The following is a 16194-nucleotide window of genomic DNA, read 5'->3' as shown; positions in this document are numbered from 1 at the left end:
AATTTATTTGAATTGTCACATCCAGTGTCACTTCTCTTTTGATATATGTCAAGAGCAATAACTATGAAATATTACATATAATTGTTTCCATTCTAAGCAATTGAACCAATGTTCAGCTAATAGCATTAGTGAAAGAGAACACTGCCTGAGCAATGTAAAATAGCGGCTGATATAAACATTACTAGTATTTGGCTTTGAAATATGCTTCTTATAAAGACTTAGATTTACACATGGCAGATTTGATCTCAAAAATTCCAGCAAGACTAGGTGCCATGGTGGCTCATGCCTGTTATCCCGGTGCTTTAGGAGGCTGAAGTAGGAAGATCACTTGAGGTCAGGAGTTCAAGACCAGCCCTGGTAACGTAGCAAGACCCCATCTCTACCAAAAAAATTCAAACAAAATAAAATAGAAGCGTAACTCAAGAGAATTGGGAGGCGGTCTTGCCTCGTTATCCTGGCGTTTACTTCCCACCCCTCTGCCTACTGGCTGCTGGCTGGCAAAGATTGCTAGTGCTCCTAATGGATGCAACTCACAAGGTCAAACTTTTGCCTCCCAATCTTTCCTGACTCAGAGACTTTCATTTTGTGTTTTGTTTGGGATTGATTTAAAGTGCTTCTCTCGCTAATGTGTAAGTTTCATGTAAAAATCAGTGTAAAAATAGAAAACTGAAAGGTCAAATTAAGTATTGTGAATAATGCAAGTGCTGTTAAAATTAAAAGCAAGATTTGCTGGAAGTGATGTGCCCTAGATTGATAGTAGATGGAATCTATTTGTATACCTCGCAGATTATTATGTGTGAGTGTATTGTTCATTTGTCGACCATCATAGACTGGCTTCCTTCTTCTACTTAACCTGTTTTCATTTAGTTTCTTTTTTTTGAGACGGAGTCCCTCTGTCGCCCAGGCTGGAGTGCAGTGGCATGATCTTAGCTCACTGCAACCTCCACCTCCTGGGTTCAAGCGATTCTCCTGCCTCAGCCTCCCGAATAGCTGGGACTACAGGCACGTGGCACCACGCCCGGCTAATTTTTTGTATTTTTAGTAGAGATGGGGTTTCACCGTGTTAGCCAATATGGTCTCGATCTCCTGATCTCGTGATCCGCCCACCTCGGCCTCCCAAAGCGCTGGGATTACAGGGGCGTACCACCACACCTGGCTAATTTTTTGTATTTTTAGTAGAGATGGGGTTTCACCATGTTAGCCAGGATGGTCTCGATCTCTTGACCTTGTGATCCGCCCACCTCGGCCTCCCAAAGTGCTTGGATTACAGGCGTGAGCCACTGTGCTCCACCTATTTAGTTTCCTTATGGCAGGTCTTGGTGGTATTATGGAGCCAGACAGACCAGACTTCAAACCCCAGTAGCAATGCCACTTACAAGCTGCGGGAGCTTAGGAACTTGGCTTATTGTCAGTTTTGACCCTTACTTGTGCCACCTCAAAATGGCATTAATCACACCTCCTTGATAAAACTGTTACAGGATTAGTGATTCCATGTGTATTAATAAGAGCACATTATCTGTTCCATCTTCTTTTATCAATTTTGCAATAACTAATACAGCAACATAAATATTGTGATTATTTTCTTTGGCAGTAAGTTTTGTACTGATAAAGTTAAATAGAATTATTTTATTGGATTTGGGGAGTAAAGAAAAGCTTTTAAAGGGAGAGATTTTAAAAAAACAGCTTTTAAACTAAGCACAAGTAGTTATTTAAGTCTTGCATAGTTATTTCCTCCATTTTGAGTATGATTCATCCTTCTTGCTTAATCATGTGTGGGTTTGAATTTCTTTCTGGAGTAGCTTCTTTATATAGACTACTTTAATAATACTGCTTGTTGTAAACCTACAGGATGCATTTACCTCTGGGAAGTTATTTAGGTCGCAGCTACACATTCAAAACGCTTCGATAATGGTGACCAAACTGATGCTGAATCATCATCAGTTGAGTGAATTTCTTGTGCCTGCAGTACCGTCCCTCATCCTTTAAGACTGGGTCTTGTGTCCACTTCTCTATGAAGCTTTCCTTCGTTCTCTAGAACCTTCTCTGAAAGGTCCAATCCAGTCAATGATTGCTCAGCCCTCAATTCCTATAATATATATTTCAACCCATCAATGTAGCTCTTAACTATATACTTTCACGTTAGTCTCCATTTTAGGTGGTTTCTGCTTTATTTATTTATTTAATTATTTATTTTTATTTTTTTAGACAGAGTCTTGCTCTTGTTGCCCAGGCTGGAGTGCAATGGCACAATCTCAGCTCACTGCAACCTCCACCTCCTGGGTTCAAGTGATTCTCCTGCCTCCGCCTCCTGAGTAGCTGGGATTATGGGCGCCTGCCATCATGCCTGGCTAATTTCTGTATTTTTAGTAGAGACGGGGTTTCACCATGTTGATCAGGCTGGTCTCGAACTCTTGACCTCGTGATCTGCCCGCCTTGGCCTCCCAAAGTGCTGGGATTACAGGCATGAGCCACCGCGCCCGGCCGGGTTTTTTTTGTTTGTTTGTTTTTTGTTTTTTTTTTTAGCTTTGAATAGATTATAAACTTCTCCAGAGCAGATACCATGAATGAGAGAGGTGAGAGTGTGATCCCGATGTAGGGCTATTGTGTTTTTGCTTTTTCTTAGTGCCTCCCACATAATTTGACACATGAAGAGAATTCAACATATTTCTTATGTGACTAACCACAAGCATTCATAAAAGGGAAGTTTTTGTGAAGTGGCTAGGCCTTTCTGGTCAACTCTGGTCTTTTAAATTTTTCGGTAATGTGGGAGGTAAATACTTTTAAGAACACAGGAAATTACCACGACACAGAATATTTGGTGATTTGTGAGGTGAATCAAGATGGAAAAGAAAACTTATCCTAATAACACAGACAGTGGGTGTGCACTCAGATTGCTTTCATGGTACATGAGGATGGCACATCTAACCACAGTCATGCTGCAAGCCAACAGGCCTACCATGTCTGGGTCACCTGCCGGAAATTATCATCGCAGCTGAAAAGACAAATCAGGTAGTTGATTGACTGGATCTAATTCAACTGTCTTCTAATATTATTTAGATTCTACTATTCTTTAGGTAAATTGTCCAGGAAATGTTATATGCTGATTAATTGTGCTTTCAGGAATGTACATGTGTCTATGATAATTTTTTTTTTTGAGACAGAATCTTGCTCTGTCACTCACACTGAAATGCAGTAGCATGATCTTGGCTCACTGCAACTTCCATCTCCCGGGTTCAAGCAATTCTCCTGCCTCAGCCTCCAGAGTAGCTGGGATTATAGGCTCCTGCCACCACATGTGGCTACTTTTTTTGTTTCATTTTTAGTAGAGACGGAGTTTCACCATGTTGGCCAGGCTAGTCTCCAACTCCTTACCTCAAACAATCAACCTGCCTCTGCCTCCCAAAGTGCTGGGATTACAGGCATGAGCCACTGCGCCCAGCCAACTATGATAATTTTGCAATCCCAGAGCAATATGAGAGAATGATACAAATCTAGAGAACCACAGTCCTGTATTAGTAAACACTGAGTCATTTTTTTAGTAAAAGGTATTTATTGAGCACATATTATGTGCCAAATCAATTTAGGTGCTAGGGACACATCAAGGCACAAGACAAACAAAAAATTCCTTCTGTCATGAAGATAGCATGCTGGTAGCTGAGAGAGATAACAAACTATAAACAGAAGTATTGTGATATAAATTCAGGTAGTGAAAAGTTCCGTGAAAAAAATACAGCAAATGAAGGATACTGAGAATGACAAGGGGCAGGTGACCTAACTTATAAAACATGGAAAGGGAAGGTCCCTCTGAAGAGGCAACATTGAACAGAGACCTGAGACATATGATGCGACAAGGCAAGAAGCTTCCAGGTAGAGGATGGAGTAGTAGAATAGCCCTGAGACACAAGCTAGCTTCATACCATACACATAAAGAATATCGAGATGCCCAGCATGGCTGGATTCAGGAGAGAGACAGGGAGAGTGGTAGTTGGGATCCAGTTCATGTAGGGTCTTGTAGTTCGAATTGTCTTCTGAATATTTTGGAAAGCTTTTGGAGGCTTCAGAGTATAGAAATAACATGATTCAGGCTACATTTTTAAAACATCACTCTGGCATCTGTGTAGGGAAAAGATCCTTTGGAAGACAAGATTGGAAGAAGGGAGGCCAGTCAGAGGCTATAACTATAGTCCAGGCAAGTGATGACAACAGCCTCCACCAACATGGAAATCATAGAAATGGTGAAAAGTGGTTGGATTCAGAATATATAGTGCTGGCGGTTCTTGCTGATGGATTGGCTGAAGGATTTGAGAGAAAAAAAAGACTCTGATCTTTCTCATCAAGAGATAAAAAATATAAGGCCGGGCACAGTGGCTCACGCCTGTAATCCCTGCACTTTGGGAAGTCGAGGTAGGCAGATCACCTAAGGTCAGGAGTTCAAGACCAGCCTGGCCAACATGGTGAAACCCCATCTCTATTAAAAATACAAAAAATGGGGACTGGCCTAGCCTCCCAGCCTACATCTTTCTCCTGTGCTGGTTGCTTCCTGCCCTCAAACATTGGACTCCAAATTCTTCTGTTTTGGAACTTGTGCTGGCTTTCCTTGCTCCTCAGCCTGCAGCTGGCCTATTGTGGGATCTTGAGATCATTTAAAGAAGATATCAAAAGAGGAACTGAAAAGTATTTTGACGGAGTCGCTTCCAAGATTGCCGAATAGGAAGAGCTCTGGTCTACAGCTCCCAGCGAGATCAACGCAGAAGACGGGTGATTTCTGCATTTCCAACTGAGGTACCTGGTTCATCTTATTGGGACTGGTTGGACAGTGGGTGCAGCCCACGGAGGGCAAGTTGAAGCAGGGCAGGGCGTTGCCTCACCCGGGAAGCACAAGGGGTCAGGGAATTTCCCTTTCCTAGCCAAGGGAAGCTGTGAGTGACTGTACCTGGAGGAACAGTACACTGCTGCCCAAATACTGTGCTTTTCCCATGGTCTTCACAACCGGCAGACCAGGAGATTCCCTCCTGTGCCTGGCTTAGCGGGTCCCATGCCCAAGGAGCCTTGCTTCACTGCTAGTGAAGCAGTCTGAGATCGACCTGGGATGCTGGAGCTTGGCGGAGGGAGAGGTGTCCGCCGTTGCTGCGGCTTGAGTAGGCAGTTGTATGCACACAGTGTAAACAAAGCAGCAGGGAAGCTTGAACTGGGTGGAGCCCACCACAGCTCGGCCAGGCCTACTGCCTCTCTAGATTCCATCTCTGGGGGCCGGGCATATCTGAACAAAAGGCAGCAGACAGCCTCGGCAGACTTAAACGTCCCTGCCTGACAGCTCTGAAGAGAGCAGTGGTTCTCCCAGCACAGCATTTGAGCTCCGATAACAGACAGACTGCCTCTTCAAGTGGGTCCCTGACCGCCGTGTAGCCTGACTGGGAGACACCTCCCAGTAGGGGCCAACAGACACTTCATACAGGTGGGTGCTGTTCTGCAGCCTCCACTGGTGGTACCCAGGCAAACAGGGTCTGGAGTGGACATCCAGCAAACTCCAACAGACCTGCAGCTGAGGGTCCTGTCTGTTAGAAGGAAAACTAACAAACAGAAAGGAATAGCATCAACATCAACAAAAAGGACATCCACACCAAAATACCATCCATAGGTCACCAACATCAAAGACCAAAGGTAGATAAAACCACAAAGATTGGGAGAAATCAGAGTAGAAAGGCTGAAAATACCAAAAACCTTGAACACCTCTTCTCCTCCAAAGGAAAACAACTCCTTGCCAACAAGGGAACAAAACTGTACAGAGAATGAGTTTGATGAGTTGATAGAAGTAGGCTTCAGAAGGCCAGTAATAACAAACTTCTCCAAGCCAAAGAAGCACGTTCTAACCCATCACAAGGAAGCTAAAAACCTTGAAAAAATGTTAGATGAATGTTACACTAGAATAACTAGTGTAGAGAAGAGCTTAAATGACCTGATGGAGCTGAAAACCACAGTACGAGAACTTTGTGACGCATACACAAGCTTCAACAGCCGATTCGATCAAGTGGAAGAAAGGACATCAGTGATTGAAGATCAAATTAATGAAATAAAGTGAGAAGACAAGATTAGAGAAAAAAGAGTGAAAAGAAATGAACAAAACCTCCGAGAAATATGGGACTGTGTGAAAAAACCAAATCTATGTTTGATTCGTGTACCTGAAAGTGACGGGGAGAATGGAACCAAGTTAGAAAACACTCTTCAGGATATAATCCAGGAGAACTTCCCCAACCTAGCAAGACAGGCCAACATTCAAATTCAGGAAATACAGAGAACACCACAAAGGTACTCCTCGAGAAGAGCAACCCCAAGACATATAATTGTCGGATTCACCATGGTTGAAATGAAGGAAAAAATGTTAAGGGCAGCCAGAGAGAAAGGTTGGGTTACCCACAAAAGGAAGCCCATCAGACTAACAGCAGATATCTCAGTGGAAACCCTACAAGCCAGAAGACAGTGGGGGCCAATATTCAACATTCTTAAAGAAAAGATTTTTCAAACCAGAATTTCATATCCAGCCAAACTAAGCTTCATAAGTGAAGGAGAAATAAAATCCTTTACAGACAAGCAAATGTTGAGAGATTTTGTCACCACCAGGCCTGCCCTACAAGAGCTCCTGAAGGAAGCACTAAACATGGAAAAGAACAACCAGTACTAGCCACTGCAAAAACATGCCAAACTGTGAAGACCATTGATGCTATGAAGAAACTGCATCAATTAACGGGTGAAACAACCAGCTAGCATCTTAATGACAGGATCATATTCACGCATAGCAATATTAACCTTAAATGTAAATGGGCTAAATGCCCCAATTAAAAGACAGACTGGCAAATTGGATAAAGAGTCAATACCCATCGGTGTGGTGTATTCAGGAAACCCATCTCACATGCAAAGACACACATAGGCTCAAAATAAAGGGATGGAGGAAGATCTACCAAGCAAATGGAAAACAAGAAAACAGCAGGGGTTCCAATCCTGGTCTCTGATAAAACAGACTTTAAACTGACAAAGATCAAAACAGACAAAGAAGGCCATTACATAACGGTAAAGGGATCAATTCAACAAGAAGAGGTAACTATCCTAAATATATATGCATCCTATACAGGAGCACCCAGATTCATAAAGCAAGTTCTCATAGACCTACGAAGAGACTTAGATTCCCACATAATAATAATGGGAGACTTTAACACCCCACTGTCAATATTAGACAGATCAATTAGTCAGAAAATTAACAAGGATATCCAGGATTGAACTCAGCTCTGGACCAAGTGGACCTAATAGACACCTACAGAACTCTCCACCCCAAATCAAGAATATACATTCTTCTCACCACCACACAGCACTTATTCTAAAATTGAACACATAATTGGGAGTAAAACACACCTCAGCAAATGTAAAAGAACAGAAATCACAACAAACTGTCTCTCAGACCACAGTGCAATCAATTTAGAACTCAGGATTAAGAAACTCACTCAAAACTGCACAACTACATGGAAACTGAACAACCTGCTCCTGAATGACTACTGGGTAAATAACGAAATGAAGGCAGACATAAAGATGTTCTTTGAAACCAATGAGAACAAAGATACAATGTACCAGAGTCTCTGGGACACATTTCAAGCAGCGTGTAGAGGGAAATTTATAGCACTAAATGCCCACAAGAGAAAGCAGGAAAGCTCTAAAATCGATACCTTAACATTACAATTAAAAGAACTAGAGAACCAATGGCAACCAAATTCAAAAGCTAGCAAAAGACAAGAAATAACTAAGATCAGAGCAGAACTGAAGGAGATAGAGACACAAAAAACCCTTCAAAAAAATCAATGAATCCAGGAGCTGGTTTTCTGAAAGATCGACAAAATTGATAGACTGCTAGCAAGACTAGTAAAGAAAAAAGCGAGAAGAATCAAATAGATGCAATAAAAAATGATAAAGGGATATCATAAAGGTTCTGAAATTGAGGAACTAATTAATAGCCTACCAACAAAAAAAAGTCCAGAACTAGACAGATTCACAGCCGAATTCGACCAGAGGTACAAAGAGGAGCTGGTGCCATTCCTTCTGAAACTATTCCAATCAATAGAAAAAGAGGGAATCCTCCCTTACACATTTTATGAGACCAGCATAATCCTGATACCAAAGCCTGGCAGAGACACAACAAAAAAAGAGAATATTAAGCCAATATCCCTGATGAACATCAATGTGAAAATCCTCAATAAAATACTGGCAAACCGAATCCAGCAGCACATCAAAAAGCTTATCCACCACGATCAAGTCAGCTTCATCTCTGGGATGCAAGGCTGGTTCAACAAACGCAAATTAACAAATGTAATCCATCCCATAAACAGAACCAATGACAAAAACCACATGTTTATCTCAATAGATGCAGGAAAGGCCTTCAACAAAATTCAACAGCCTTTCATGCTCAATAAACTAGGTATTGATGGAACATTATCTCAAAATAATAAGAGCTATTTATGATAAACCCACAGCCAGTATCATACTGAATGGGCAAAAACTGGAAGCATTCCCTGTGAAAACTGGCACAAGACAGGGAGGCCCTCTCTCACCACTCCTGTTCAACATAGTATTGGAAGTTCTGGCCAGGGCAATCAGGCAAGAGAAAGAAATAAAGGGTATTCAATTAGGAAAAGAGGAAGTCAAATTGTCTCTGTTTGCAGATGACATTATTGTATATTTAGAAAACCCCATTGTCTCAGCCCAAAGTCTCCTTAAGCTGATAAGCAACTTCAGCAAAGTCTCAAGATACAAAATCAATGTGCAAAAATCACAAGCATTTCTATACACCAAGAACAAACAAACAGAGAGCCAAATCATGAGTGAACTCCCATTCAGAACTACTACAAAGAGAATAAAATACCTAGGAATCCAACATCCAAGGAATGTGAAGGACCTCTTTAAGGAGAACTACAAACCACTGCTCAACGAAATAAAAGAGGACACAAACAAATGGAAGAACATTCCATGTTCATGGATAGGAACAATCAATATTGTGAAAATGGCCATACTGCCCAAGGTAATTTATAGATTCAATGCTATTGCCATCAAGCTACCAATGACTTTCTTCACAGAATTGGAGAAAACTACTTTTTTCATGTGGAACTAAAAAAAAGCCCACACAGCCAAGCCAATGCTAAGCAAAAAGAACAAAGCTGGAGACATCACGCTACCTGACTTCAAACTATACTACCAGGCCACAGTAACCAAAACAGCGTGGTACTAGTATCAAAACAGATATATAGATGAATGGAACAGAACAGAGACCTCAGAAATAGCACCACACATCTACAACCATCTGATCTTTGACAAACCTGACAAAATCAAGAAATGGGGAAAGGATTCTCTATTTAATAAATGTTGCTGGGAAAACTGACTAGCCATAAGTAGAAAGCTGAAACTGGATCCCTTCCTTACACCTTACACAAAAATTAACTCAAGATGGATTAAAGACTTAAATATAGGACCTAAACCCATAAAAACCCTAGAAGAAAACCTAGGCAATACCATTCAGGACATAGGCATGGGCAAAGACTTCATGACTAAAACACCAAAAGCAACAGCAACAAAAGCCAAAATAGACAAATGGGTTCTACTTAAACTAAAGAGCTTCTGCACAGCAAAAGAAAGTAGCGTCAGAGTGAACAGGCAACCTACAGAATGGGAGAAAATTTTTGCAATCTATCCATCTGACAAAGGGATAATACCCAGAATCTACAAGAACTTAAACAACTTTACAAGAAAAGAACAACACCATCAAAAAGTGGGCAAAGGATATGAACAGACACTTCTCAAAAGAAGACATTTATGCAGCCAACAGAAAAATAAAAAAATACTCATCATCACTGGTCATAAGATAAACGCAAATCAAAACCACAATGAGATACCATCCCATGCCAGTTACAATGGCAATCATTAAAAAGTCAGGAAACAACAGATGCTGGAGAGGATGTGGAGAAATAGGAACCCTTTTACACTGTCGGTGGGAGTGTAAATTAGTTCAACCATTGTGTAAAACAGTGTGGTGATTCCTCAAGGATCTAGAACTAGAAATACCATTTGACCCAGTGATCCCATTACTGGGTATATACCCAAAGGATTATAAATCATGCTACTATAAAGACACATGCACACGTATGTTTATTGCAACACTATTCACAATAGCAAAGACTTGAACCAACCCAAATGTCCATCAATAATAGACTGGATAAAGAAAATGTGGCACATATACACTATGGAATACTATGAAGCCATAAAAAAGGATGAGTTCTTGTCCTTTGCAGGGACATGGATGAAGTTGGAAACCATCATTCTCAGCAAAATATCACAAGGACAGAAAACCAAACACCACATGTTCTCACTCATAAATGGGAGTTGAACAATGAGAACACATGGACACAGGGAGGGGAACATCACACACCAGGGCCTGTTGTGGGGTCGGGGGCTGGGGGAGGGTTAGCGTTAGGAGAAATAACTAATGTAAATGACGAGTTGATGGGTGCAGCAAACACATGTATACCTATTTAACAAACCAGCACGTTGTGCACATGTACCCTAGAAGTTAAAGTATAATTTTAAAAATATACAAAAATTAGCTGGGCTTAGTGGCAGGTGCCTGTAATTGCAGCTACTCAGGAGGCTAAAGCAGGAGAATCGCTTGAACCCACAAGGCAGAGGCTGCAGTGAGCCAAGATTGCACCACTGCACTCTAGCCTGGGCAACAGAGCAAGACTCCATCTCAAAAAAAAAAAAAAAAAAGAGAGAGAGAGAGAGAAAGAGAGATAGTAGAAAATAGTCACTAAAATTTAAGACCAGGTGCCTACAATCCCAGCTACTTGGGAGGCTGAGATGGGGAAATACTTGAACCCAGCAATCCAAGACCAGCCTGGGCAATAGAGTGAGACCCTGTCTCAAAACAGAAAAAAAAAGTTTAGTTGCGTGAAAATATGTACAACCAGAATATTCTATACAAATAGGAATGTGAAAAAGATATCAAAGGTGAAAGATAACTTTGAAGTTTGTCAAACAACTACTTAACAGTAAAGCAACTAATTGGTGAATGAATTCAATCATCAGTTGTGAAATAAATGTTTAAACTTATTCTACCATTTCTTTCAACAATCTTTCTTGCGTGCCTACATGTTTATATTTTTGCCTATCTACATATACAACTGCTATGGTTTGAATGTATGTGTCTGTCGAAAATTCATACATTGGAACTTAAACCCAAAGATGATAGTATTAAGAGAAGAAGCTGTTGGGAGGTGATTAGGCTATGAGGCTCTGCCGTCAGACTTGGGATTAGTACCCTTATACAAGGGCCTGAGGGAGAGAGAGAGTTCCTTGTTTTGCACTTCCGCTCTTCTGCTATGTGAGGACACAGTGTTCATCCCCTTTGGAAGACACAGCAACAGGTGCCATCTTGGAAACAGACAGCAAGCCATTACCAGACCCTGAACCTGCCAGTGCCTTGATCTTTGACGTCTCAGCCTCCAGACCTGTGAGAAATAAATTTCCTTTTTTTTATAAATTATCCAGTCTAAGGTATTTTGTTATAGCAGCACAAGCACAAACAGACTTAGACAACAACATTTGTGGCCAAGTAGAAATCTATATCTCAAGAACACTAGGTCAGAAGTCTATGGATACTGGTTTTTAGGGCCTACCACTGTCGAACTTTGGATGAAAATGAAAAGTATGTAACTATTTAGTTATTCCCGACTACTTAGCTGGGTAGCTATAGCTTTTCATCTTTATCCAAAAATATAAACAGAGCAGACTGGGCACGGTGGTTCATGCCCATAATCTCAGCACTTTGGGAGGCTGAGGCAGGTGGATCACTTGAGGTCAGGAGTTCAAGACCAGCCTGGCGAACATGGTGAAACCCTGTCTCTACTAAAAATACGAAAATTAGTAGGGTGTGGTGGCGCACGCCTATAATCCCAGCTACTCGGGAGGCTGAGGCAGGAGAGTTGCTTGAACCCAGGAGGCAGAGGTTGCAGTGAGCCAAGATCATACCACTGCACTCCAGCCTGGGCGACAAAGCAAGACTCCATCTCAAAAACAAACAAACAAACAAACAAAATATATATAAACACAGCAATCATGTGAAGATAGTATCATCCCAGAATAGCAATGGCATATCATCACCTCCTTAATGACTGCCTTACTTAGACCTGCACAGACCCCAGAAAAGCACCCAGAATATAAAAGCATAATTAAATTGCAATTGGGCAAAAACACCAGGCATAATAAAACACTCAATAAATCTGAAGAAAATATTCATAAAAGCAAATAATACACAAAAAACCAGATGCTAAGATCAAAAACAAGATTACAGTGTCTTGCAAGAAACAAAGCAGTCAGTCCTCAAATGTGCAGTGGTTTATTTATATTTTTTAAAAATCAAAAACTTACATCTACCTGGTTTTTCTCATGCAATTTCTTCATATAAATCAAGTTACTCAACAATAACAACACTTAATATTAATAATGTGAAAGAACCTTCACAAATTATTCCAGAAAACATAGCAGTGTGGGAGTATGTAATTTTTTATGGATGAAGGATGAAAAAGCTCAGGCATAGCCCAAGCTAATGTCTTGCCAGTGGCAATTGAGCAAGTTAATGACAGAGCCAGGAGAACACAGAGGGACAAGCCGAACAGTTCTGTGCCGATAAAAGGAAAGATGTGAACTTAGTCCCACGTTACTAATTGACTCATGTATTTAATCATTCAGCTACATTGCTCCCTTTGGCATAAGTTGGATAGATTTTCTTTTTATTCTGTTTCAGCCACAGAATTAGAAACATTTTACAGTTAGAGACATGTAATATACATAATCAAAGCAACACTAATGAAAAGAAAAACAGGATGGAAAATGAAGGATAACAACTTTTAGAGTGTCAAGGAGAAGACAAATATATTAAGGATGTTACTTTTTAAGGTCACTATAAATGTGTAATCAAGTACATAAAATTTGGTGTGATACAATGGTAGATAACATTGCACTTCATCAAACTTTTATAAATTATGTCTTTAAGGAATCAAAAAAAGGGGTATACATGGAAAAATATATACACTGACTAATGCAGAGCTAGACGAAGAATTATAACCCAAGAAACAAGATAGTCAGAAAAACATAAAAATATCTTTTTTAAACGTCTTAAATGTATTTTAGGCAGGACTGTTGTCAGGGATATTGGCACATTAACATGACTTTTAAATATTCAGAGCAATCTGTTAATAAAATTATCAGCCAGAAAGAACTTTCTTAATTATAGAAAAAAGACAAAACAAAACCATCACTAGGGTACAAATTCTCAAGACCAAGACTTCAAAGAAACAACAACTTTATGCTAAGCTTTCAAGGTCAACAACCAGTCCAACAGACTGAGAAGTGACCAAAAATAGAGATAGATAGCAGACTTGCATCATAATGGATTAAGGGTTCCTAAAATATAGATTTTTTTCTTCGTGCTGCTGACTCATTGTGAAACAATGAAAAGGTTGCTCATGCACACAAGCTAAATTTTAAAACACTTTTGACCCAGAGCATGTAATAAATGCTATAAATGCTCTGTCTTTCTCCTGCCAAAATGTCCGTCAGTTCAGAGAGAGTTTGCCTACATAATGCCAGACATCTGTGCAAAAGCTGAACAGCTTGGTCAAGGATTTTAATGTTTTGTCGACATGGTGCCAAACATCTGGGTATTGGAAAAATATCTAGATAATTGACTGACTTTTTACTTTTCATCCAGATGTTTGGCATCAGAATTAAATACTCCCTTACTATATAAGTACATTTATCATGTAAAAGTGCTAACAATATACTCTTAATATAAAAAATAGGTTTAAATCTGCATATACAATGTGATCCCAGCTTTGAAAACAAAAATTGTATATATGCTCATAGAAAAGAACACAGAAGGAAACATACTGAAATGTTGAAAGTGATCATTCATCCTCTGGGTGGTGGGATTATTGTCAATCTTGATGTTACATGTAGTTTTTTTTTTTTTACTTTTTCTAATATTCTTCAATAAAGCATGTATTGCTTTCATAACCATAAAAGCATTTTAATTGTGTGATTAGATGGTATCAGTTAATTTGGAAACTGAAAGAGTATAATTTATGGCTTGGCATTGTATACATACAATTAACTATAGCTATGAACCTACTAGTAAGTTATGCTGGTTTGGGAAAAGCAAATGAAAAGTAAATTAGCAAAGATAGAAAAGCTCCAGAGATCTAATGACTGCTACGCACACATGACTTGAAACAACGTGCCTAACAGGTTTTTCCTCACTCAACTGACTGGAACTCTTTATTTTGCACACACCCCACTATATACCTGCTGGCACAAACACACAAGCCCAGAACACCAGGTGCTGTTCTCAACAACGTCCGGCGCTTGACCAGTGCATTGAGAAGGTTGGTCCCCAATAACATCTATCTCAAGACCACTTTCCACAGCCTTTTAATCTCCCACTCCCAGTCCTCTCTCTTTGTTCTCTTTCCACTCTGACGAATTAAATTTAGCCCTTATTCTTTTTCTTGCTTTAGAAAAGTTCCTCGAAGTTTAGACGTGTAGAATGTTAGTGTCCTCAGCATATCTCGCCCAAATCCCTCCTTTTATAGGTGCAGAGACTGAGGCCCACAGAGGTTAAATGCCAGGCTCAAGGTGGTACAATCAAGACTAGAACAAAGGGTCTGTTTTCAGATGCGGGCATTTTTTTTTTTTTTTTGCTACGCAATGTTACAATGGTTACTCTAGTCCCCAAATGTCTTCATCTATAAAGTAGGATAAATATTTGCATGCAAAGTGCTTTGGGATTTTTGAGATAGAAACTAAATATAAATATTAAGTATTATTTTGGCAACCTTTTTCATTTTATAAACTCTGCTATCCAGTAATGCTTGGAAAAATTAGATCTGATCTAGATGGAATCTCAAATAGAATTTTAGTAAAAATGTCAGCTCCTAAAAGCATCAAGACCTTAATTGTTCTGAAATTGTTAGGAAAGCAAGTGTTCTTCAGATGATCTAAACAATTCCAAATTAAATAAAGAACAAATGGTAAAGTTATCTGGAAACTTTTGAAATGAAACATCTGAGATCCTTTTCAAACAGTAACAAAAAAAAAAAAAATGAAGGACTCGCGTTGGGTGATTTTTTTTTTCCAGCCTTTGTAGAGACCAAAGTGACCATAATTGGCTGATGAATCCCATACACTCTTCAGTGGTTGTTAATCTTAAAAAGCTGTTCAATAAACAACACTTAGAGTAAAAAGGCAAACACTGTTGTCTTTAGTTTATTTTAAGGTTCTTCCCATAGTTCAAGAACAAATAGACTATCCTGAAATACACCAGGTAAACAGAACCGAAAAAGAAAACGGCTCCCACTTTCTAAGCAAATTTAAAGCTATGCAGCTTAAGAATACTATTTGGTAAAGCTTTCAGTTTTCCCATTCCCTTTCCGATAGGAGGGAAGAAAGAACAAAATAATCATTTCTAGGCAGTGAGCCCTGTAATTACATGCAACCTGCTTAACTCAATTCTTCAGAGCCAACCCAAGAAACACTTACACATTATAAAGAATGTAGCAAACACGTGCTTAGCTAGATCTGGAAACATCCGTAACTCTTAACACTTCCTGGTTTTTTAAAAAAGTATTTATTTGCTCAAGTCATATAAAATGTGAAAAGAAGTAAGAAGTTAATCTGTAAATATTTCATCTCTTCTATAGATTTAATGTTCTTTTCAAAGTATCCTTTCATGAGCCTGGGCTTGGAGCCACAAAGTTACTAGTACGAAAGCCCATTATTGCTCGAATGTATGTAGTACTTCTATTTTCAAAGCATTTCGCCATCATTAACTTCAATTTCACCATCATTAACTTCATGTCGACTAAGCAGGATATTGGTTTTGATGGGGAAATGATCTAATCCAGTATGGAAAATTCTGTATCTAAAAACACCTGAAACAGGAAAACTTTTTATCTTTTCATTTCTTTGTTTGTGTCTGAAACTTCTCAGTACAGAGGGCTCACAAAATGTGCCTCACATCACTGCAGAATGAGGACAACAGGGGTATCCTGTCTCGTGGAATGGTTTTTATGGTAACTGTCGAATTTGTGTTTGTTATTGGCAGTGATG

General features: G+C 39.7%; 1 protein-coding gene across 1 annotated transcript in view; it reads left to right on the top strand.

Annotated features, from left to right (window-relative positions):
* The first annotated feature begins 14415 nt into the window (after nucleotides 1–14415).
* Nucleotides 14416–16194, top strand: part of NCOA2 (nuclear receptor coactivator 2) — a 346665-nt gene continuing 344886 nt past the window's right edge. Inside the window, exon 1 of the mRNA XM_047421240.1 lies at nucleotides 14416–14471. The gene's annotated coding sequence lies outside the window, so the exon portion shown is untranslated. The remainder of the gene's footprint in view (nucleotides 14472–16194) is intronic.

This window comes from Homo sapiens, chromosome 8 (genome assembly GCF_000001405.40).
Source record: "Homo sapiens chromosome 8, GRCh38.p14 Primary Assembly".
NCBI lineage: Eukaryota > Metazoa > Chordata > Mammalia > Primates > Hominidae > Homo > Homo sapiens.
The sequence above is the reverse complement of the archived record's forward strand: the minus strand, read 5'-3'. Positions and strand labels throughout refer to the sequence as shown.